Source organism: Homo sapiens, chromosome 2 (genome assembly GCF_000001405.40).
Source record: "Homo sapiens chromosome 2, GRCh38.p14 Primary Assembly".
Lineage (NCBI taxonomy): Eukaryota > Metazoa > Chordata > Mammalia > Primates > Hominidae > Homo > Homo sapiens.
The window spans coordinates 134664613-134689562 of record NC_000002.12 but is presented as its reverse complement, the minus strand read 5'-3'; the positions used below and the strand labels follow the sequence as shown (position 1 = coordinate 134689562).

At 44.4% G+C, this 24950-nt stretch overlaps 1 protein-coding gene across 1 annotated transcript in view, besides 1 other annotated feature; it reads left to right on the top strand.

Moving 5' to 3' along the window:
* The window catches only part of TMEM163 (transmembrane protein 163), a 263242-nt gene that overhangs the window by 29438 nt on the left and 208854 nt on the right, over positions 1–24950 (top strand). The window lies entirely within an intron of this gene.
* Positions 5740–5809: an enhancer, noted in NCBI's record as "active region_16564". NCBI's record gives its function as "activates an Ori minimal core promoter by ATAC-STARR-seq in GM12878 lymphoblastoid cells {active_cell/tissue: GM12878}" and the evidence as "EXISTENCE:reporter gene assay evidence [ECO:0000049][PMID:35858748]".

The window sequence follows — 24950 nt, the reverse complement described above, 5'->3', positions numbered from 1 at the left end:
GTGGCAGCAGGCCTCTCAGGAGTGGGCAGTTGGAGAGGATGTCACAGTGCTAGTCATTTGGGGAAGTGAGCTGAGTCCCTAGACCAGTGCTGTCCAATAGAAACAAAATATAATTCTAGTCACAAATGTGACTCTCATGTGTAATTAAAAATTGTCTCCAGGCATGGTGGCTCATGCCTGTAATCCCAGCAGTTCGGGAGGCCGAGGCAGGCAGATCACCTGAGGTCAGGAGATTGAGACCAACCTGACCAACATGGTGAAACCCCATCTCTACTAAAAATACAAACTTAGCCAGGCGTGGTGATGCATGCCTGTAATCCCAGCTACTTGGGAGGCTGAGATAGGAGAATCGCTTGAATCTGGAAGGCAGAGGTTGCCGTGAGCCAAGATCATGCCATTGCACTCCAGCCTGGGTGACAGAGCGAGACTCCATCTCAAAAAAAAAAAAAAAACAAAACAAAAAACTTAGGCACTCCATTAAACAAAGAAGTAAAAAGAAACATAAAATTAATTTTGCTGATATTTTTATTTATCCCAGTATATCCAAAATATTATACTTGGTAATAAAATATAAGAATTATTGAGATATTTTACATTCTATTTTTCATGTGAAATCTTTGGAATCCAGTGTGTGCTTTACACATGGAGTACATTTCAGTTTGGACTAGCCACTTAGCCACGTTTCATGTACTCAGTACCTACATGTGGCTAGTGGATACCATAGTTCCAAAGAGAGTGTGCGTGTGTGGTAGCAGGGAGGAGGGAGTGGGGCGGTGTGTCTGAGTCCTGAAAGGAAGATAATCTGTTGCTTAGTATTATAAGACATTAGAACAGGATTAATACTTTGATGAAGATTGAAGGTCATTTCTTCCATTGCTGCTCAATGTCTGTTGCAGGAAATATGTAGAGTGTCTATGAATGTCTCCAGTGGAGAAATAGTTACAGCTGAGGGATTTGGGTGGTGGGAGAACTAAAATTATTTCTCTTCCAAACTCCAAGTAATATATTACCTAATTACTCTTTCCTGTTTAGGAATATTTTGAAGATTAATATATTCCCCGGTAGAAGGACTGAGAGAATCTAGGAATTTGTATAAGGAGGAAATTTATAAGGACTAGAGAGATTATTTCTAATTTGTCATAGGTCGATTATTGACTTTTTATGTGTATTCGGTACACCCACCAAGGTGACATTCATTTTGATTTGTTTTCTGGCAGCCGACCTTTGAACCTCTTCATGAGTTTGGAGACACCCACCATTTGTGTCTTGGTGGGAGGGGAAGCAGGGCTCTGGGAGGCTGGAAGAAACTTATTTCTCAAGATGCTTGCAGCTCGGGCCGAGGCACATAACTGAAGCAGAACCAGTGAGAAGCTCCTGCTTGGGGTTGTGAGTCTGGCAGGAGTGTCTTTTGAGGTTCCTTCGCATTGGAGATGACAGCAGTGTCTGGTGCGCAGTGGGGAGCTTGCTGCGCAGCCAGAAGTCAGGTGCCTTGGTGTTGAGCGGCCGGTAGTGGCTTTGTTATTGGAGTGGTCTGGCCATGCTCTCTGCTGTGTTTCCAGTATCTGGCCTTCCTTGGTTCCTATGCCCTTCCTGAGCTTGTTTTGCCAGTCTTCCAGTCAGCTGAACTCAGAACTCTTCCCCATGTAAATCCCTTTTCTGTTTGTTAATTAGAGTTGGTGGGTGCTGTTGGCAACCAATAATTAAGCTCCTTAAGTTTGGGAATTGTCTTGATACTTTTATGTCATCCCATGGTGCCTTGCATAGAGTTAAACATTACATTATTGGTTGATAAGCTAGGTTCTGCCTTTTACCACACTGATGTCTTTTCTGATGAAAAAGTCCAGGGTATCTAAGTAGGGTGCTGGTCACAGTATGTGATTTATAATGAATTAACCTCCACTTGGAATAACTTTACTGAGCTGTTACCTGAATCATGCATTGCACAGTTGAATGGCATTTAAGAACGAGTTTTGCCACCTTCGCCATATTCACTTTGTCACAGCCACACTGCATCACTTTTAGAGAGGCCTCTGATGTTCAGCATTTTCATGACATTGTTGAAATTGTATATGCAGATGAATATACATTCATTGTGCATTGTTATTAAACTTATACATATTTTAACATTGATTTTGTTTATCAGCATAATATGTGCTCATGATTTAAGTGAAATAGTGCTAAAGTTGATCACAAAAAACAGATCCCTGTGGGTCCTTTTCCCTCTCTCCACCTCCCATGGCTACTTCTTACCCGAGAAGCAACTCTTCCCAACATTTTATCTGTGCTTTTTTTGTCAACCCCATTTCTAAAAGCCATCACGTTTTGGCATTTCTGTGGACCTATTTTAGCAAGTGGAGATTTTTACTCTCTTCCTTTCTGGGAGATGATTCTTCCTGGGTCTCACACATTTCTGGCCATCTTGCAAGTAGAGGTACTAACTCGCTTTCTTTCTGACTACTTTTTCAAGGATGTTTGTATAGTCTTGGATGATATAGTGTCTTCCGCCAGAGCAAAAGGCAGTTTGCTTATAGCTTTGGAAGATAGAGATGTTATGGGCTTATTGCCCATTGTGAAAAAATCAGCTTCCCTAAGCTTGGGTTCCTCTCCTGTAGTGTAACTCACTGTGTCTGCAATTTTCATCTGCACTTCTTTGGATGGCCAGGGGAATGGGGACTTAGGAAACCAAGGCAGAAATGCTGATTCTCTGGCTACTACTATTGCTGTGAGTAATAAATCGCCCTTTGTCTCTGACCCAAAAATCTCATGTCTTCTGCCAGCATTCATGAAACTGGCTGACTAACTTGTTACCTTGCAAGTAGGGTAAAATCTCTGATCCTTCACAGCTTTTCACTTCCACGCCTCCAAATTTCTTAGTATTACAATCTTTGGTTAAATTTGTATCAAATGTATTTATAATTTTTACTGCATAAAAATTGTATCATGATGAGCCGAGTAGCATGCTATGATTCTACCTCCTTTTTGGCCCCATAAGTCAATCACTGCCTTTGAAAAATTTTTAGTTGGTGAGTTTTCTTTTACTCTGGTCAAGTAGTCCCTTGCTTTTTGACAGCTCTATAATACAGAAAACACAACTCACGAGTCAGCTGTCATATAACCTAGCAGTTCTTTCTTTTGACTGGGGTTCTGCCCCTGGAAGCCACCACCATCCTGCTTTAATATGTACGGATTGCTTTTTAGGCTCTAGGCTGCATGGTTGAGCCCGGGGGCAGGCTTCGCAACCCATATTCATGGCCTCCTCTCCCTTCCTCCACCTGCTGTGGAGGTTGGATAAGCCGTTCACTTAAAAAGCTTTTACCTTTTCTTTTCCCCAGCCTTTCCTGCAGTCCAGGTGGCTATGGAAAACTTCTGGCAGGTGAAATGTGAGTAGAGGCTTATCAGGCTGGGGTGGGGAGGGCAGCTGGGTTCAGGGAAGGTTTGTCCTTTTTTGATAAAAGAGACAAGTGGACCCAGATGCCACTCCTTTCCTCCTGGCTGGACTCTGGGTATGACACCAGGACCTGTGGCAGCCATTTCTGTGACAGGACAGACAGGTATATGGCTGGCAGAGTCTTTAAATCAAGCTATAGCTGAAGATAGTCTTGTTCTAGACATTTGTTGGTGTGTGTGACATGAGTGAATACATTTCCTTTTTGCTTAGGCCATTCGGGGTTGGAATCTCCATTTCTTGTAATGAAAAAGTACAAGTGAATGCAAAACCTATTTGCTGTCCCTAAGTAGGTAATGGAGAGTGTAATCATACCCAAGAATCTATGAGGTGGTCATTTCAGAAAATGGGTTTAATGATGATTGTATGTTTTATTTTTGGACAGAGAATTCTTAGTTTTGGTGGTGTTTCTTCCATGTTCCCTTTGTAAGTTTTATAATGATTGCATAAAATGCTGATGGGGGCAAGTGGGAAAGCAGGAGCTGTGGTGACGGGTTCTCCAGATCTAATTAGGCTAACCTTGGACCTTACAGTGACTTTTCTTGAAAGTACCTTATTTTATAACTCAAATAGTAACATTATGCTAAATTATGCTTTATTACTCATAAATAATTCATGTCCATAATTTAGTATTCCTAGCATTCTGAATTGCTTCACTTAGCAAAGAGCAAAATTGCTCTCCCAAAACTGCTCATGATAAAAAGACTTCAAGTTACAGATCCAATTATTGGTTTGTTGTTTTCTACCTACTCACAGCTCTTTCTGGATTAGAAATTAATATGCTATTAGGATATTATGATGACTTATATAAAGCAAGAGAATTGTGAGTGGTGGGTTTATAGTGGAAATCTAGAGCAACTAAATGGGAATTTTAGAAACAGTTATTCTTAAGGGTCAGACATCTTTAAGATGCAATGAGTGGCTTCAGAAGCTGACTCAGCCAGGATCTTTAAACGTTAATACTGTTTGACCCTTGAGAGAAGACATATTCTGTCAATTACCTTGTCAACTCAGCACCCAAGGGAGGGTTTGGAGAAGTAGTTCCTTTTTAATCTTAGTATAACATCAGCAAGGTGTGGACATGAAGTTTGAGAGTTAGGTGGGAGAGGATGGACGTTCTTGGAGTGCCGTGTTTGTGTAGGCCATTCTCTTGGGAGCTAATTCATTCTGCTTTTTCTTTTTTTTTTTTTTTTTTGAGACAGGGTCTTGCTCTGTCTCCCAGGCTGGAGTGCCGTGGCACAATCTTGGCTCACTGCAACCTCCGCCTCCCGGGTTCAAGCAATTCTCGTGCCTCAGCCTCCCTAGTAGCTGGGACTACAGGTGCCCACCACCACACTGGCAAATTTTTGTATTTTTAGTAGAGATGGAGTTTCACCATGTTGGCCAGGATGGTCTCAATCTCCTGACCTCATGATCCACCTGCCTCGGCCTCCCAAAGTTCTGGTATTACAGGCATGAGCCACCTCGCCCGGCCTGCTTTTAAGGTATCTCTCTGTGTTCCCAAAACACTGAGGGTGTGGGGCTCCATCCTATTCTTGTGCCCTTTTATTTGATACCTCTGAAGTGCAGCCTCATTAGCTGATAGCTCAGACTCCGAGGTGCCCCTTGCTCATGGGGTTCCCTCAGAAGAAAACCTCTTCCCATTGTCCTTGGCCTTGGAGAAACCTTCAGCTCCTTCAAGGCACCACCTGAGCCTTCACTCATGCTCGCAGAATTATTAATAATTACCATCCCACAGCACTGCTGCCTGTGGTTTTAGCTGGGGCTCATTTTGCCTGTAGGTGGTAGTTGGGTACGTCTGTAACCTTCACTAGTGAAGCCTCTCGATGGTAAGGTTTATGCTTGATACATCTTTTCATTTACTCGCAGATAGAAGGTGCTCACTTCAACATTTGTTAAGAGAATCAGGGGAGTGGTATATATCATCAGGCAAAGACCAAGAGCTGTTTGTTTGTTCTGTGACCTTGAACAAGTCACTAAACCTTGTTATAGGTCTTGCTTTCCTCATCAGTAAAGCAAGATAATAGTACTTACTTCCAGGACATGGTGAGTATTGGTCCTAACACATGCAACTGCTTAGGTCATTTTAGCACAAATAAATGGCAGTGATTATCATTAGTCATTGCTGGTAAAATGCCCATTTTACTGCTTTGAATTGACCAGAAGTTAAACTGTACCCTTCAGAGGCCTCTATAAATTGAGGGCATATTATGTCCATAGTCACCAGTGCTAAAAGTGTTTGTTCTGTGTTTCCCCCAATGATGACCTTGGTGTTGACGTGTCAAGTTCAGGGAATTGCAGAAATGAGTCACTCTAGTTGCTATCATTGCCCTTTTGCCTGTTGCTGGCCATATTTGTTTTCATAGCAAAATCTGATAAACTTCTTCCTCCTTCCCTCCCAGCGTCTACTAAACACCTGCTATTGAGCCAGGGTCTGTGGTGGAGACAGAGGAATGAGTAAGGCCTGTCATTCAGCATGCCCAGTAATCAGCATGACTTATTATGGATTTAGTCAGCAGAGTTGCAGAACCACTAATAAGCAGAAATTTAGGTAATAGTGTCAAGTTATTCATGTTTTGTAATTGCCACCCCTGTTGTTTGCTCTATGATCAGAAAAGTTGTTCTGGTGGTTTATGGCTTCACAAATGAGTTTAGTTTAGGTTTCCATTTTCTTTTCTTTTTTTTTTTTTTAAATTAAAGACTTTTTTAGAGCAGTTTTAGGTTCACAGCAAATGTGAGAGGAAGGTACAGAGATATTCCATATACTCTGCCCCCATAAACACATAGCTTCCCCCCGTTATCAATAGATCCCACCAGAGTGGTGCATTTGTTACACTTGATGAACCTACACAGACACATCATTATCACCCAAAGTCCATTATTTACATTAGGGCTCACTCTTGGTGTTGTACATTCTGTGGGTTTGAACAAATGTACAATGACATGTATCCACCATTATAGTATCATGTAGAGTATCTTCACTCTCCTAAAAATCCCATCTTTCACCTATTCATCTTCTCCTCCCTTTAGGTAACCTGTTTCTATAGTTTTGTCTTTTCCAGAATGTCATACAGTTGAAATCATACAGTATGTAGCCTTTTCAGTTTGGCTTCTTTCTCTTTGCAATATGCGTTTACGGTTCCTCCGTGTCTTTTCCTGGCTTGATAGCTCATTTCCTTTTGGCACTGAGTAACATTCCATTGCCTGGATGTAGCAAAGTTTATCCACTCATCTACTGAAGGACATCTTGGTTGCTTCCAGGTTTTTGGCAAGTGTGAATAAAGCTGCTATAAACATCTGTGTGCAGGTTTTTGTATGGACATAAATTTTCAACTCTTTTGGGTAGATACCAAGGAGCACAATTTTTGGTAAGAGTGAGAAACTGCCAAACTGTCCTCCAAAGTGGCTGCACCATTTTGTATTCCCGGCAGTAATGAATGAGGGTTCCTGTCGCTCCACCTATTCATCAGTGTTTGGTGTTGACAGTATTCTGGATTTTGGTCATTCTAATAGGTGTGTTATGGTAGCTCGTTGTTTTAATTATATTTGTAAGTGTGAGAATGAAGAACTCTCCCAAGGCTCTTCACGCTCTTAGCCTGTGGTGCTGTAGACTTGGGCCTACTTTCTCATTAGTTTTCTTTCCGTATAAAGGGATGGCCCCTACTCACCTCAGTTTACTGAGGATGCTGCTGACACAAGAAATGGTCAGCAGACTGAGACACAGCTTTGACCCTGCAAAATAAGCTGAGCATGACCTGTGTGTGTTCTTGGCCTCTCCCCAAACAAGAAGAGAAGTTGCAGCTTTGTGAAGTGATAAGGGAAAGTGAATAAAAATGTATGAGAAAATCCCCCTCCCTCAGCCTTTCTCAACCTGGGTTCTGCAAGAGATGTAAGCTCTAATACCCTGAGAAGAGTGTTGTATGTGATGGATTAACCGCAGTCCCATGCATCAAGAATAGCAGTAGCCATGTACCATGCCTGGGAGAATTGAGAAAACTCACACCAGTCATTTTCTGTGCTCTGTAGGTCAGATGAGGCATCCCAATTGAGAAAGGCTGAAAGACTACGTAGGATCCTTTGGGTTAATTGAATGCAGATTCTGTATTTGTTTTCTTAGGCATCTCTTAATTGCGTGTTTGCTGTAGTAAGATTTCTGCTGTGTGTAATGTGTGTCCCCCTCCCCCAAGCCAATTGTTTTAGAAGTTTCCTTTGAATCTGGGTTCTAAATGTACATTTGTGAAAATATGCCTACTTCCAAGGTGCTTTGGGGTATGTGAAAACTAAATTGGCAGTAGGTGGGCATCAGGCTGTTTTGTTTCTTGAAGAAGGTGCTTGTTGGTGACCTGTTTATTTGTCCATTCCACACACCCTGATTGAAGTTGCCATGTGCTGGGAACCAGGGTCATCAGGAGGAATGCAGTGTGGGATGATTTGTAAACCAAGAGTATACTGTCTCCTGGAGGTGATGCTCTGCTAAAAGAAGGCATGATAACCTGTGTGACTTATAGAAGCTGAGTGGTAGGACTTACAGACGGAGGCTTCTATTCCTGTTTGCATGGGATGTAGGGGGTTGGGGCAGAAAGAGAGAGAAAGAGAAAGAGTGGGGGGTAGAGAGAAAGAGGTTTTGTGTGTGTACGCTGTGGGGCAAGAAGGCAGAGTTCTTCAAAGGCCTTTGCATCTGGGCAATTGCCAGTGGTTGGCTGAGCTTGACCGGGACACTGGAATGCGGTTTGTGTGGGAAGAGCTGTGAGGCTGAGCTGGAGAAGAGGGTAGGAGGCAGGTAATGCATAGCCAGCCTTCCCGGCATGGAACTGAGACTCTATCAGTACCCATCGGGGTCACCAAAGGAGGTCAGACTGGAGAGAGGCATGACCAGACGTGCCTGTCAGAGATGGCCACGGTGACCCTTTGCAGTGGGGTGCACTGCTGGGTGGCTGTGTTGGACATTTGGAGAAAGGAGAGGCTTCTATGAGCCGGCAGTATAAGTTGGATGGAGGGAAGAGGATGACTTGGGAAATGATGGGAACTATTAAGGCACCCTTGAATGACCCAAGAATCTCAGGCAGTTGATCCAAGTGGTTATAAAGATGGGTGGCGGCTCCATCCTGGATTATTGAATGTGTGCTATTGAACTACTTTTATTCCAATAGTTTCCAGAGGTTGAGAAGCTCATCTTTACGCTTACTGTGTGCCAGGCAAACTAAGCTCTTCATGTGCTTTTGTGTAATTCTCATGACAACTCCACAGAGAAATGGAGGTATGGAGAGGTTAGTAACTTGCCCACGATCACAGCTGACACGTGGCGAAGCTGGGCTTGAACCCCTCTCTGGCTCCAGTGCCACAGTCCAGCCTTTCTCAACATGTCCTCATTATAAACCCTGTCTGTCCCAAACTTTCTGAGACTCTGAGCAGGGATGGGGGCCGTCCCTACTCCTTTGACCTGGCCAGGGAGTGGGTAACTGCCCAACATACAAAGTAGCTGTCAGAAGAACTGAGAGAACCTTGCGCATTAATGTGGTCCATAATGAGCCCTTGGGGATATAACACTAGAGGAAAATTACAGGTTTTGATGATTTAGTTAATAAGAAAGTGAAAGATTTGTGAGAGGTGGACATTTAGTCAAGTTTGACCAGTAACTTTAAAGGTTCGTTTTTTTGTTTGTTTTTGAGACAGGGTCTAGCTCTGTAGCCCAGGTTGGAGTACAGTGGTGCGATCTCGCCTCACTACAGCCTCCATACAGAGCTTTTTTTTTTTATAGGTCTCATTTTTGTGTGTTAAATCCTTTCTTTGATTTTAGTCTTTTAATTTAATCCTTTTATCTATCCCTTGAGGGTAAATATTTATTTAAAATGAAAATTTCATGAAAATAGTAATTAATTATTTAGAAAACAATGAAAAATTCTCTTAAGACCTCATTTAAGATTTTTTGCTCCAAAACATTATGTAGAAAAACTTCTTTTCTCATGCAGCCATTTACGTAGTTAACAGGCTTCTGAACAGTCAGGGTCTTGCCTTAGCAGCCTGACTTTCTCAGCCATCATGCCACCTGGCCCAGAGCCATGGAAACTCAGGTTGCCTGTATTTTCTGAGCCTTCTGTATGCCTGGATTCCTTGGTATTTTTGTTGGAATTAGCACTTACAGAACAACTTAAAGTACGTTTATTCTGGCAGGTATAGGGTGGAGCCATTAGGGTTGCTGGGGAAGCCGGTGTGGTTAGAGAAGGAAGTCATGGCTGAGTATCTGGGCAGGGTGGGCGGGGACCTTGTGGGTGAGCTCATCACTTCCCCATAATTCAGCTGTGGGGTGGTGGTGGGAGCTGGCGACGAAGGTCTGGGATGTTTCTAGGCAGGGCACCTCTTACTAGCTTTGTTACCTTGTGTAAGATTGAGTATCTCTGCGTCTCTTTGGTCATTTGTAGAATGGGTTTAGTTATCCCTATCTTAAGTCCTTTCCAGGATTAGGTGTAAGAATCAAATAAAATGTCTTCGAAAGCTCCTGGGAAGCTCCTGAATGCATCTTACCTTTTTGCAAGCACTTACTTACAAAGTGCTCTTCCTTCCAACCCAGAGCACTGCGTCGCTCACTTCTATCACTCTGGTGAATTGTTCTAAGTGTAAATTCTCACAGGGGCCAGGCAGGTGTGAAAATGATTGAAGTGGGTGGCCTAGGCAAGGCCATGACATATATCTGTCACCTACTTGAAATGCCAGTCTTGTTTTCATGGAAGGAAATCTTTCCTGATCTTATGATGCATGATGTAACGTGCATGAGTTTGTCCTAGAGTCATGGAACAAACACATGAGGCCAGACATATATGTATAGTCATGTACACATATTCATGAACCGCAGGGCTGCTGTTCAGTGAGTGCGCCCCAGCATGGCTCCGCTGATTGTTAAAACACCACTTGGTAATCAGCCACTGCCCAAGCCCCTTACCTCCATCCTTGTGTCCCCCACCCCAGATCCTCTGGATGTCCCTATCAGCCAGCAGCTGAAAGGGCTGAGGCCTGGCCTGGTCTCTGGGACCTTCCCTAGGCCAGGGACAGACACTGTGCCTTATGCCTGACAGGGGCCAGAGCTCTGCTCGTTGTTAAATATGTTGATTGTCACCTCTGTGGACAAATCCATTATTTTCATACACATAGGTAGATATTGGAAGAGATTTTCTGCTTGGTGAAAGACTGACATTCAGCAGTTGAATTAATAGCTGTTCTCACATACAGGAGCCTCATTAAAGTGTAGCTTATCCACTTGAAGTTAGAACAAAATAGCTTTATAAAAATTCAAATTTTAAAGCAATGAAAAACCAATAACTTGAGATGATTAATTTATTCTGCAGACATTTATTGATCACCTGCTTTGTGCTTGGAAAAATAATACAAATGTGCCAGGGCTTGCTATTGCTTTTGGTACTTGCAGCCCAGTCGACCTGGGGAATGGGAAAGGACTCCCCAGGCTGACACAGCTTATGAGTAGCAGAGACGGGCCTTGAGCCCAGGTCTGAAGATTCCAGGGCCTCTGCTCTGACCTTCAGCCTCCCTCTCAGCGGATATGTGGAAGGAGAAGGTGGAGATGGCACAGTCCTTTCCTCATCCTGGTGGGAGGATTTATATGTAAACTGGGAAAGTCCCTACAATTGTATTTTATTTACAGAAAGACAAAAGCCTTTTCCTGTTTTTCTTTTCTGAGACCATTTGCAACCCTAAAGTCTGAAAAGGCAGCCAATGAGAATAACAGATTCACGTGTTTCCACGGGCTTGAGAATGAGACAGGGCGTACTGCCACTGCTTTGACCTTGAGGCTCAACAGCCATCTGCCTGGATTTACACAGTGAGATTGCTCCCTGTCCTGGCGCTCGCACCCCTCGGATGTAAAGCCTCGGAGTTCCTGCAGTCACTCTGTGGCTCCCTTTACCCGTGGGTGTTTGCAGCTGGACTCAGAAATGGAGCAGATGTGATAAAAACGACTTTAAATAGCCCAGTGCAGTCCAGGAAAATGGACGTTCTGGAGCAGAAGCAGCAGAATCAATTAGCTAGGGTCGATCTGCTTCCCTGAGACCGGAAAGAAACCAGGACAAAGAGTGCACTGCAGGTTGTGTTGGGCATTGCTGGCACGCCTTCGTTTTTTGTGCTTGGCTGCGGGTGGGCTTACTGGAACGTGGAGGGGTGTCTCCTGGCCAGAGTCTCTCCTTACTGTCAAACTGTATGTGGAGAACTCATGGCCTCATTAGGTCGGTCCTATGTATCCAATGACATTGGAAGAACTGCTGCCCATTTCATTAGGAACTGTTGACACAGGGGTACATTTATTTAAGAAGACAAAGATTACAGAGTTAATTACTACAAAATAATATTATAGAAGTAACACATCATTTTGGAAAAAATGGGAAATAATCCTCTACTCTTCTGTATCTCAGGGACAGCCATTTTAATATTTTTTGTTCATTCCTACAATCTTAATCCATTTTAAGAAACGTATAGCTATGGTCATATTATAGATAGAGTTTTTATACACTGCTGGTCTTGGGTGACTTTATTACAAAAAGACTTTTCAGAGACAGAAAGTACCTTCCCCCTGCTCCCCGCAAGAGGAATTTAACTTTTTTCTTTTGCTTATAAAAGCAATACATGGCTTGGCTTAAAAAAAATCCAACTATATTGAAAGCCAGTAGTTTCTTTATGATTCAAAAGGCCACTGCCACTTTTATTTTTGTCTTCTCCATGCCTTTTCGTGTGTGGATTGCATAAGCTTTTTTCTGTAGTCTTTCTCTTATAAGGAGTGGGATTTGGTTCTGAGGGAGGGGGTCTGGCAAGATCAGTTGCTGACACTTCAGAGACGCCTTTAAAAATAGCTCCATGTCGCAGGCCAGCGGGCCTCACTGCTCTGCAGCCTCCGTCCCAACGTGAGGGTCTGAAACCTCTTCAAAGCCATAATTCTCTGCACGCCAAAGCCACGAGGTCTGCGGAAGGAAGCGAGAAGAGCAGGGTCGCCGGAAGCTGACCTGCTTTGATTTGGAGCATCACAAGTTACACTCAGGGAGTGTGGACATTTTCATAGTGTTTTATCTCTCTCTCTCGGGTGGGCTGCATCTGGTTAAAATGTCTTCTGCAGAGAACTGTAGAAGAAAAGCTGCTGACAGAAAGCATCAGTACAGACTCTTGTATTTTTTTCCTGCCCTATTTATGGTGGTTTATCAGTTGGTTCTACAAGATAATCATGAGGGTAGTTAATTTTCTCATTTAGCACTGGCTCCTATGGTGCTTATCCATTAAGGTCTGTTCGTCTCAAATATTTTTATGTTTAGATGTATATGTATGATATTGTATGATATTGATTCCATTTATGTGAAGTCTTGATTCTATTTATGTGAAATATCCAGAATAGGTAAATGTATAGAGGCAGAAAGTAGACTAATGATCGCCTAGGACTGGGGCTGTTGAGGGACCGTGAGAGGTCACTTCCAAGGACTTCCAAGGACAAGAAGAATGTTTTGGGGCAGAGGAGTGATGAAAATGTTCTAAAATTAAGTCTGCTGATGGTTGTACAGTTCTGAATACACTAAAAACCATTGAATTGTACACTGGAAATCAGTGAATTGTATGGTTCATAAATTGTATATCAATAAAGATGTTAAAAAATATGAATATTTATATATATATCTATATCTACTGCAGTACTAAACAATGCAGCCAGTGTATCACCCATTGGAAGGGCATGTCCCTTAAAGAGAGAACAGACATGTAAGAAACAACACTTTACCCATAGGAATGAGTGGAGATTCAGGCCTCTGAAGATTATTTTTTATATTTCTGAGAAAGGATGGAGGGCTACTCAATAGTGCACTGGAGTGGGCTGGCTCACAAGAGCTGATGGTTACATTTTCAGTATTTTGCAAGCTAATTGACGTCAAGTTGGTAGCTTGAAATTGGCAATGGGGAGAGTGTATTTACACCATAGAAATTGGCAAATGCTGCAAGTCGGGGCCTTTTTTCCTCCCAGAGAGCCAGTGAAACATTGACCATCATGCCACTGGCCCCATTCTGTTGTACCTTATGTCGCAGGTCAGTTTTACTCCAGGCAATTGAATTAAGAGCTGAGCTTAGGAGAACTGTCTTGATGTGGGGTGGGGTGCTCAGGAGGGCTGACTGTGAAATCTGCTAGGCTCACATTCCCTCCACCAGGAAGCATCTGGCTAGCTAACATGTCTATTTAGGGTTGGGGTGCTGACCTGAAGGGCCTCCTGTTTTGGGGGAGTTATGCTCTGTGGATAGTCTGCTAATCATCAGTGATTGCTTTTGCATGGCCTTTCTGCTTTTGAGAAAGAAAAATTTGATTCCTAAATCCTGGGACCGGATTTGTTCATTAGTGCTGCTGTTTCACTGGAGGCTGCCCTGTTGGGAGCTCTGGATGAAATTTGCAACAGTAACTTGTGAAGCTAAGCAACAGAATCCACCTTACTTCTTATTCATCTTCTTTAATTTATTCAATCTGATTTAGGCTTAGATATCTAAAAGTCATTTTTTTTTCAGACAGGGAATATCTGAATTATTCATATCCTTCTCATATTATGAGCTGAGCATATCGGTCCCTTGAGAAATCATTGCCACATATCTTACTGCTGTTCCCGTGTGTTACTTTGTCAACATCTCTGAGTGAGATTAGTCATTAGATGGTCAGGCACACTGGAAATTGTGGAAATAATAAAGGTTTTGAAAAACCTCAGGCGATACAAGTGGCTAAAGTTTAAACCCAGATATAAATTCTCCTTATGCCTACATGGTTTAGATTTCTTTCACTTGTTGATTATTTTTTATTAAAAGGAAAAGTCACTGCATGATCTGAGTGTTTTATTATAGTTTACTAATATTTGGTGTGTATTTTTTCCTTCTGTAATGATCAAAATGAAATTTTAACAGGAAACTTTCCTGAGAATGGATCCTTCCCCAAAATGGAAACATTCATGTGTTTCTTTTCGATAATACATATTGTAAAATTCAATCAGTACATAAAAAGTAAAAGTGATGCTTAATCCTGTCAACCTGAATAAGAAACAGAGAGAGAGGCTCTCTAAATGAAAAAGATATTTACTCGGAAATGAGCTTTGCCATGGGAGTACACTTGCCATAGCAAATTATGTACGTATTCAGGGAGGTGAAGGAACACAAAGGTTTTTTAAAGGAACATGAAGAGGGTGACATAATTGTTTTGAGATAAGTAGCTTTGGCTACAAAGATCAATAACAAGGGTAGTGCCAGTCTGAGGTTGGATAGGCAGTTGCTGGGTAGATGTCCTTGCAGAGGTATTTTTAATGTAAGGTTGTGAGGGCCTTTGCGCAAGATTGTGGTTTTTGCAGTCGTTTGTGATCATTTTTGTTATTAGGCAGACAAGCATGAGAACCCTCTCTTCATGGCCTTCTTTGGCTCTATTTGTCAGGTTTTGTTTTTTTTTAAACATTAGTCGGCAAGGCGCAGTGGCTCACGCCTGTAATCCCAGCACTTTGGGAGGCCGACGGGGGCGGATCACGAAGTCAGGAGATTGAGACCAGCCTGGCCAACATGGTGAAACCCCTTCTCCACTAAAATACAAAAAATTAGCCAGATATGGTAGCGCGCGCGCGCGCGCGCGCGCGCCTGTAGTCCCAGCTACTTGGGAGGCTGAGGCAGGGGAATCTCTTGAACCCGGGAGGCGGGAGTTTCAGTGAGCTGAGATTGTGCTACTGCACTCCAGCCTGGTGACAGAGCGATACTCTGTCTCAAAAAAAAAAAAAAAAAAAAAATTAATGACTCTATTTTGATTTTGACAACGTTCACATCCTACCCTCCAGAGATGAGTGTGAGATACTTTTTATAAAGCTGGGCTGATACCTGTGATGTAATGTGTTAAGTGCAAAAGGCAGGTTAGAGAGCAGTGTGTATAGTATGATGTGATTTATGTACAGAAAGTATACTCTCAGATATGGGAGAATTTATACCCTTGACAAAAGTATGTGTTTGTTCACATAAATGAGGAATAGACCAATAGCCACTTTTTCCTTCTTGATAGCAGTGAGGTACTTCATTGTACATATGCACCATAATATATGGAACCAGTCTGCTATTTGTGGATGCTCAGGAGACAGTTTTAGAATTCTAAACAGTTATGGAATGAAAATGTACAACATTCTGATTCCGTATAGTAATTTGTATTAGTTTCTTATTGCTGCTGTGACAAATGACCACAAACTTAGTGGCTTAAAACCGCACAAAGTTATTATCTGACAGTTCTGAAGGACAGAAGTCCAAGATCAGCCTCAGTAGGCTAAAGTTAAGGTGTTGGCAGGACCGTGTTTTTCCATAGGCTTTGGGGAGAATCTGCTTTCTTGCCTTTCCAGTTTCTAGAGGCTGCCTGCATTCCTCAGCTCGTGGGCTCTCTCCACCCAGCAATTACATCACTCCAATTTCTGCTTCCATTGTCACATCTCCTTCTTCCACTCTCCTACCTTGCTGTTTCCCTTATAAGGTCCCTGTGATTATGTTGGGTCCACCTGGAAAATATGGGCTAATCTCGTCATCTCAGGATCCTTAGCTTAATCAAACCTGCAAAGTTCTTTTTGCCTTGTAAGGCAATATATTCACAGGATCTGGGGATTAGGTTGTGAACATCTTTGGGGAGCACTGTTTGGGGACCTAGCTGTAGGTCCTAGGGATACAAAAATGAACAGCACAGTTTTCTGCATTTCAAGGGGTTGTAGGCTTGAAGGGAGTGGGAACTCATGAAAGGATGTGCAGTGTTGGAAGATCTGCATTCATAGTGGCTGAGCCTCGGGTATAAGGTGGGAGGCAGCCAAAAATGAAAGTGGAGGGAAAATTGGAGCCATACCAACACGTGCCAATGCGAGCTCATGAAACGGGACTATATCTTGTGGATCAGGACTTCTTGTCCTGGGGTTAGTAGAAGGCTGCCAGGTGTTCCTCTACCACCTGGCCTTGTATGTAAAACTTTAGGCATGTGTGCATTTTTCTGTGGAGAGGGTCCATGATGATATTCATCAGATAACAATGGGGTTTATGAGCCAAAAGTTCAATGTTGCAGCTGTGGGTGATGGGATGCCTTTGGAGGACTTTAAATGACCTAATTAAAGTTGCGCCTTGGAAAACTAGCCATGAGTGGAACTTGCAGGTATAGGAGTAGAGGCAGGGACATCCTTAGGAAGCCCCCCAGTACTGGGCCAAAGATGATGGGCAGGGCAGGCAGTGGGAGCAGAGCATTGGGACTGAGTCCAGGGTAGATGGGGAGGTAGAATTGATGGAACTTGGATGATTTAATGGATGAGCAGGGCAAAGGGTAATTGGTGGCATTCTGGATGGATGAAGGCCCTGTTAGTGGACCAAGGGGATATAGATGGTGAGCAGGCTTAGGGGTTATTGTGGGTTGGGAGGGAGCTGATAAATTCAGCTTTAAGGCCAGGCACAGTGGCTTATGCCTATAATTTCAGCAATTTAGGAGGCTGAAGTGGGAGGATCGCTTTAGTCCAAGAGTCTGAGATCAGCCTGGGCAACAGAGTGATACACTGTCTCTACAAAAAAAAAATAAAATTAGCCAGGCAGGTGTGGCTGTGGTCCCAGCTACTGGGGAGGCTAAGGTGAGAGGATCACTTCAGTGAATCTTATTACTGCACTTTAGACTGGGCAACAGAGTGAGACCCTGTGTATGAGCTCACATAGGCACGTGTTGGTCTGCCTCCAATTTTCCCTCCACTCAAAGGCAGTAAATACATAAATTTGGTTTTGTACCTATGCATATCATAGAGCCTGTGGGACATTCAAATGGAGGTAAGTAGTATATAGTATGTGGTCATAGCCATTTCTAGAGTCCAGAGGTACAGAAATTCATGAACTTTCCATATTTTTATTCTTATTTAATGTCTCCACTCTGTTCTTCTTCAGTAAAGCTAAACCCTTAAAATGGGCAGGACTTAGGAGGTTTTGAGGCAGAAATAGCAACAGCTAATACACTTTTTGTTACTTTTATAATTTATAGGACACTTTTTATAATCCAAATACCATCTTATCATTGCATCAGTCTGATGAGGGGTGGTGGATGAACTGTCACTGACATGAGGGTGATGATAATAATGAATAATAATTATAGATAACATATATGAACATTCACCATGCCAGGCTAGGCTCTGAGCACTTTACATTTATTAGCTTAGTTCATCCTCACAGTAGCCCTATAAGAGTTGCTTTTATCATCCCATTTTACAGATGAGTCAGCCAAGTTCCAGAGAGGTTGAGAAGTTTGTCCTAAGTCACAGCTAGAGAGGGGTGGAGCTAGGATTTGGACTCAGATGGCTGGGTGTGGCTCTAAAGCCTGTGTCAAGCCCCTCAGGGGTGGGGCTGTGGCCCATATTCATGCTCGTCAACCCCAGTTCCTGTGTTCTTTCTATTCTGTGACCACTGTCTTTCCAGGGGGTGGGGAATGTGGAGGAGGTTAACAATGGCATTTCATAGCCAGTGGTGGGAAGAAAGGGATCCCAGAAGAGGGTGGTGGAGGTATTGTCAGCAAGGAGCAGAGAGCTGTGGCATCCCTGGGGGCTGCAGCACCATGCAGCAGCAGCCATGTGCAGAGGAGTTTGTTTCGGGCTTGAACCCAGGGAGGTCAGTGTTCCTGTAGAGCCAGGCTGGAGACAGAGTGGCCAGACATGGGAGAGGGAGGGCAGCGCCATGGTCATCTGTGGCTGGATCTGAAATGGTTTGGGGAGAAGTAGCAAGTGATCCTGGACTACAGGAGCCAGGAGTTGGGGAGGGGTGGGTCTCCTTGCTGCAGGGGTGTCTGTGCTCCTGAGAGTCAGCTTAGAATCTCAGGGCCTGCTGAACTGGCACCACTAGTAGTGAGGATTCTGCCACACGGCAGGACTCACAGCCTTTGGGAGCCTGAGAACTACGGGCCAGGTGCCAGTCTTTGCCTTATTTGCTCTTAGTCTTTGCTGAGGGCCAGCTCACTGCTGGTGAGGAAAGGAGAAGCAGTCCCCAGTCCCAATCACTGGGCTGCTGACACGGCTGGACAGGGACACAGACATCGTTCCCAGAGGGGGTCCTTTGAGAGCAACCTGGGGTGCAGAGGGCAAGCCTTCCACAGGGCAGGGATTGAGTTCCTAGAGTCCTGTGAAGACCCAGCAGCTGATAGGAAGAACGGGGCAGTGCTTGAAAGAAAAGACATGAGCCAGAATATCACAAGCTGACATTTTGTTTATGCAAGCACTTATGTGGTGTTGGTTTCAAAGTCCTTTAAAATCGGGGACTTTAATGTCAAGTAATTGGCTCTTTATGGAAAGGTTTCCAGTTACAAATGGGGAGCAGGTGATCTCAGATTCCAGCCAAACTCAGTTAAAAGGCCAAGTCTTTGGTTTTCTGAAATCGAAGCTCTGGGGTCCCATGACATGCCTTCTTTCCTCTTGCCTGAGCTCATTAATGCACCTTTCTGTGTCATTTGCTGCTGTTGCCCACAGCCATGGTATTCCAGCAGCTCTCAGTGAATTTGATGAACGTCACCAGTGCTGTTTTGCTTTTATGTATTGACAAGTGTGCCTGATTGTGGTTTTTCAGAAGCCTGCTCTGTAGGCGTGGCTGTTGTGGTAGAGGAAGGGTAGTATCAGGGCAAGATTGCTGGAGAGGGAGGGGAGAAGCCCAAATCTTGCCCAGCCCTGCCAGTGTTCCCCCACGTGGGGTCTGCCCTTTGGAAGCACAGGAGGCCATGCACTTCTAGCCATGGCGACTGCCCAACTCCTGTGTGAGATGCTGCGAGGTCTCCAGAGTGACCTTGAAAGAGGTATTGTGAAATTCTTAAGAGCTTGAAGTAAAAAATTAAACTCTTACTTTTTTTTTTAAAGGTGCCATTTACTCTACTAGGAAGTAGAGTTGTGAAATTAAACACTGACAAGATGTTCTAAACCTACCCTGGAGGAGGTAAATTGCTATTTTGAGAGAAGGAGCCACGTCTACTAAAGTTCCCATGTTTCAGTCACTGTGGCTGCACAGAAAATCATCCCAAAACACAGTGGCCTAAAACAGCAGTAATCGCTCTTTATTGCTTATGGTTTCGGTGGGGCAGGAGTTTGGGAGCCCCTCATCTGGGTGGTTCTGGCCCAGGGTCCCTCATGGGGTTACAGTTGGAGGGTTGCTGGGGCTAGGGTCATCTCACAGGCTTCTTCCTCACATGGTGCCTGGTCAGGGAACCCTTGAACAACCGGGGGCTGGAACAGATGGGGCTGTTTGTCCATCTCTCTTCTCGTAGTCTTTCCACCTCATCCCTCTAGCATGGTGGCCTTGCAGTTGCCAGACGTCTTCAGTGATGGCTCTGGGCTCTAAAGGCACATGTCCCAAGAGCCAACCAGGTGGAAGCCGATTTGCCTTGTGTGACCCAGCCTCAGGAGGTGTGCTGCATCACTTTTGCCACATTCTCTCTTGGTCAAAGAAGTTGCAGAGGTCTGCCCAGGTTCAAGGGAAGGGAAACCAGACCCACTGTCAGTGACGGAATGTCAGGGTCACACTGAGAGAGATGCACATGGAATGGGAACCACATTGGCATAGCCATCTTCAGAAAAACAATCTGCTGCGCCCCAGGATGGGGAACTTGGTTGGAATTAACTTGTTATAACTGATGAGCTTTGGAATGAGGGTGTTAGAGAATCTGTACTAGGGATCTGATTTGTGTCTTCCATCTGGAGATGATCAGAATTGAAAGCAAAAAGTAAAGGATGTAGAGGTAGCTGGGCTCTTGACTGTTGATTCTTCTTTTCTGTGTGATGAAGGATAGAACTAGGACTGGAGAGACTCGGTACCTTGTGACCGAGGAAGGGACCTCGTGCCCAAAGTAGGAGGGAATCTCCAGGGGAAACAGAAGCTCAGGAACACATGAGTGGGTATCAAGAGGGTTCGTATTTGCTGTGGTGAGGGACTTTGGTCCTTATAGTGCCAGCATATCCTGGTCGTGATCAAAGGACTTTTCATTGAGTCCCCATGGCCCCTCCTGTTCTTTGGAAGTGAGGGGGAGCAGCCCCAGGCTCTGCTCTCACAGATGCCTCTGCAGTGAGGATGTGGCCACGGGGCGCCCTGGCTTCTTGTTTGAGTCACTCCTTGGCGGTGGTCTCTTTCATGTAGCTCATGCTGGAGGCTGTGAGCCAGTGAGTCTCTCGGTGTGAGAGCTCCTTTAGGAAATGCTGTAGTTGTTCAGCAACTGAAGTGGAGAAATGACCGCACTGGGCAAGGTTTGGCCTTCCAAGTGTGAACACAGGCCCATCTTGCCTGCAAATATATATATACATGTATGCTTAGTCCCCTTCGTAGATTTTTTTTGTGTGTGTGTGACTCGGTTCTTAGAGGATCAGACATTTATTTAAGATATATTCAGTTAACTATGTGCTTACTATGTATTCACCCATGTTATGGGGTGGAGAGGAGAAAGGGCACCAGAAAACCCATTTTTCTTTTCTTTTCTTTTTTTTTTTTTTGAGACGGAGTTTCCCTCTTGTCACCCAGCCTGGAGTGCAATGGCACGGTCTCAGCTCACTGCAACCTCTGCCTCCTGCAGAAAACCCATTTTTTTACAATCTCTGTGTTCTCTAAGCCTAGTGGAAGAGGAAAAGAAATGGCAGTAAAGACCCCTAAAAGTGAGGACTGGCTCTCTGGGTTCAGGAACTTGAATTTGAGGTCTGAGTGTTTGGAAGAATGTTAATGCCCATCAATAAGCCAAGAGATGGGACTCTGTTGACCCCATTGCCACTGCCGTCCTTCCCCTTCCAGCCCCTCAACACCGGGTCTAGTGACCTTGGAGAGAGGGATATGTGGCCACTGATGAGCGCTGATGAGAACTGTGGGCTTGTTCCAGGACAGGTTTGTGTGCCAACTGGGGACACATGGTTATAAAGCAGTCTGATGGACAACTCTTTTGAGTTTCGGTTTTTCATTTTGTGTTCTTAGTAGTTTTCTTTCTCCTTTGAGTTGCTACTTTTGGACCATTTCTTTCTTTGGTTTGTAGGGTTTTGGTCCCTGGCCCCATCCAAGTCCCTCAGCCTTAGTATCTACAGATGCAGAAAGCGAGGCCCAGCAGGTCTTGCTGCCCTCGGCAGGGCTGGATCAGCAGATCCGATCTCCCAGCAGCTGGGCCAGTGCTTGACCTGTTGGAATGATCTCTATTCTTCCAACTGTGGTGTTCAAAAAGTTTGTTAGAATAAAATATTCTAAATGTCACTGAATGTGTCTAGGTGATATTGGTGGATTTAGACCATTGGGTTGCTTTTTCTTCCTATTTCAGGAGATGTAACGATTAACTGTGTGACTAATTAAACAAACAGCACACAAATACTCCAGCTCAATGAGTGTTCTTTAATAAGTCACTTTGGGAAAATCCATACAGTGTTATCCTTGCTTAAAACATAGTTTAAGCTTTTCTTTTGCAGATGCTTTTAGAAGCGGTTACATATATGAATTATTAATAGTTGAAACATAGGTTTGGTTGTCATAAGAGACCCCAGATAGTCATGGTTTAAACACATAGCCTGGGTGGAAGCAGTCCAGGGCTGCTGTAATGACACATGGCATCAGAAATGCTGTTTCCTTCCTTCTGCTCTGCTTTTTCTAGAATGTTGAGTGCGTTAACATGGAGAGAAGAGGTTTCCATATTCTACATCCCATGTCTGCCATGTCACATGCCAGTTAGGGTGAAGGGAGAAGGGGGAAGAGAAAGCTTGGCCTCTCTCTGTAAGGGAATCCCTTGGAAAACACAGTTTGCACTCAGATCCCATTGGCTAGAACTTCATCTCATGGCCATTTCTGGCTGCAAGGAAGGCTGCGAATAAGATTTTTATTCTCAATACCAGGTGCCCAGCTAAACGCTGTGGTTCTGTTACTACAGAAGAAAGAGGAAATATCACAGCCTAGCCAGCAGCCTCTGTCACAATGTTGGTTTTGATTATTCTCAGAAGGAGCACTTCACTGGGTGCACGTTTGATTTCGGAATCAAACTTGAGTCAAATCTGGTGAATAAGGATGTTCAAGCACTAGGTCACACTCATGCTGGGATGCACAAGGGGTAATCATGAGTGATGAGTAGATTTTTCTAGTGGGGCTCATCCACTGATTCTGGAAGCCACAGCATCACAGAGGGGCTTTGGCAGTGCAAGGAGTGAAGGCTTTGATGGAGAAGACGACATCCTCCCAGGACGATGTCTCTGAAGGGGAGCACTCAGATTATGCAACTTCTGGTGACAGTTTACATTTATCGAACGCCTGCTCTACGCTGGCCATCATTTATTATGTGGATTATCTCATTTAATCCACATAAAATCCATATGTGGTAGGCAGACACTATTACGATCTCCTTTTTATAGATGAGGAAACTGGAGTAAATTGCTGGAGATCTTAAAATGAGGAATTGGTGGAACTAGGTTTTGAATGTGGGAGTCCCTGCTCTTAGTCTTAAGTGAAAGTCTACACTCTGGATGGTGCAGCCTCAAAGGTTGCTTCCCCTACTCAGTTCCAGAAGAGGGATAGCCAGGCTTATTCTGCCCCCAGGCAGGAAGGTGGAGGATTCTGCTCTGGAGAAGTTCACACATCATGGCTGTGCTGAAGGTGGAGAAGGTGGAGAGCCGGAAGCGCTTTCAAGGCGGAGCAGGTGGCATAGGTGGAGGCAGAAACGTCAGCAGCTTCTGAGGAACTGGAAGTCCTCTAGTTAAGTTTGGAATAGATGGTCTGTGTGGGTGAGGGAGAGCCATGAGAAATTAGACCTCAGGGATGGGCAGGGGCCCAGTGTTGGAGTTTCTAGGCTGTGCCAGGGAGCTTGAGTTTTATTCTGTAGTGCAATTTGGGGGTTGGGGGAGGGTGGGAAAGGATTGGGGGAGATGAGATGAGAGGAAAGGCAGGCAGAAGTCGGCTGTTGTGAGCCCCATGGTGGAAGGTGGTGGTGGGTGGGATTTAGTCTGTGGGATTTAGTCTGATTAGCTGTATGTGCAGTGCAGTGTAGAGGATATGATTTTTTAAACTTCCTATGTATTTTTTTCTCATTACTATTCTGTCTGTTAATTTGCAGATGACAGTATCAGATCTCAGAGGGAGCTGCTTACTAATTTGGGTCAAGAAACACACATCATTAAGAAAGAGGCTTCTGTTGATCTGAGTGGGGCATATGCATTCAGCTACTTTAAAAGCAGTTTTCAGTCACAAAAATAATAACAGCTGCAGACGTTTGGTGAGAGCTTGCCACAAGCCAGGTGGAGCTTAGATGCAGTATCTTGTTTAATGCTCTTGAGAGTGCTTTGAGGCTGGTGGTGTTATACCTGAATTTCAGATGCAGATGCTGAGGTCCGGAGAGGCTGAGGAACTGGCTTAGCTGCAGGACCAGTAATCAGTAGAGGCAGGGTTGGAATTCAGCTCTGTAGTCCCTCTGCTGTGTGCTTTCCCACTGTATGAGTTAAAGTGAAGGGGGTGGTGGGTGTGCTGTGTACTCACCTAGTATTGCACTGTTCTGAATCATCATCAGAGTTTCCAGGGGACCATTCACACAGACCCTGATCCTCCAGGTGGCATTAGATATGGCCAGGGATAGATGTTGATATGGTTGGGCTGTGTCCCCACCCAAATCTCATCTTGAATTGTAGCTCCTGTAATCCCCAGGTGTCATGGGAGGGACCTGGTAGGAGGTAATTGAATCATGGAGGCATGTTTTCCCGTGCCGTTCTCATGATAGTGAATAAGTCTCATGAGATCTGATGGTTTTATAAGGGGCAGTTCACCTGCACATGCACTCTTGCCTGCCACTATGTAAGACATGCCTTTGCTCCTCCTTGACCTTCTGCCATGATTGTCAGGCCTCCCCAGCCTTGTGGAACTGTTGAGTCCATTAAACCTCTTTTTCTTTATAAATTACCCAGTCCTGGGTATGTCTTTATTAGCAGTGTGGGAACAGACTAATACAGATGTCTTGCAGTAGTTTGCAAAGTGTGGACCCCCAAACAACAATATAAGCATCACAAGCTGTTTGTCTTTCCTGTGGCTGTTGTTAGAAATTACCACAAATTTAGTGGCTTAAAACACCAATTTAGGCTGGGCATGGTGGTGCACTCCTGTAGTCCCAGCTCCTCAGGGGAGCTGAGGTGGGAGGATCGCTTGAGCCGGGGAATTCGTGAACCGAGACTGCACTACTGCACTCCAGCCTGGGTGACATAGCAAGACCCTGTCTCAAACAAAACAAAACAAAATAAAACAAAACAAAAAAAAACCCAACAATTTATTCTGTTACAGTTCTGGAGGGCTGAAGTCTGAGCCGAGTCTCACAGGGCTAAAATCAAGATGGCAGCAGGGTTTGTTCCTTCTGCAAGTTGCAGCAGCAGAGAATCCGCCATTCGTTGCCCCTTCCAGCTTCTGGTGGTGGCCTGTATCCCCCTGCTTGTGACCACACGACTGCAATCTCTGCTCCTTCCTGTCACGTTGCCTTCTCCTCTTCTGTCATCTAATCTTCCTCTGCCTC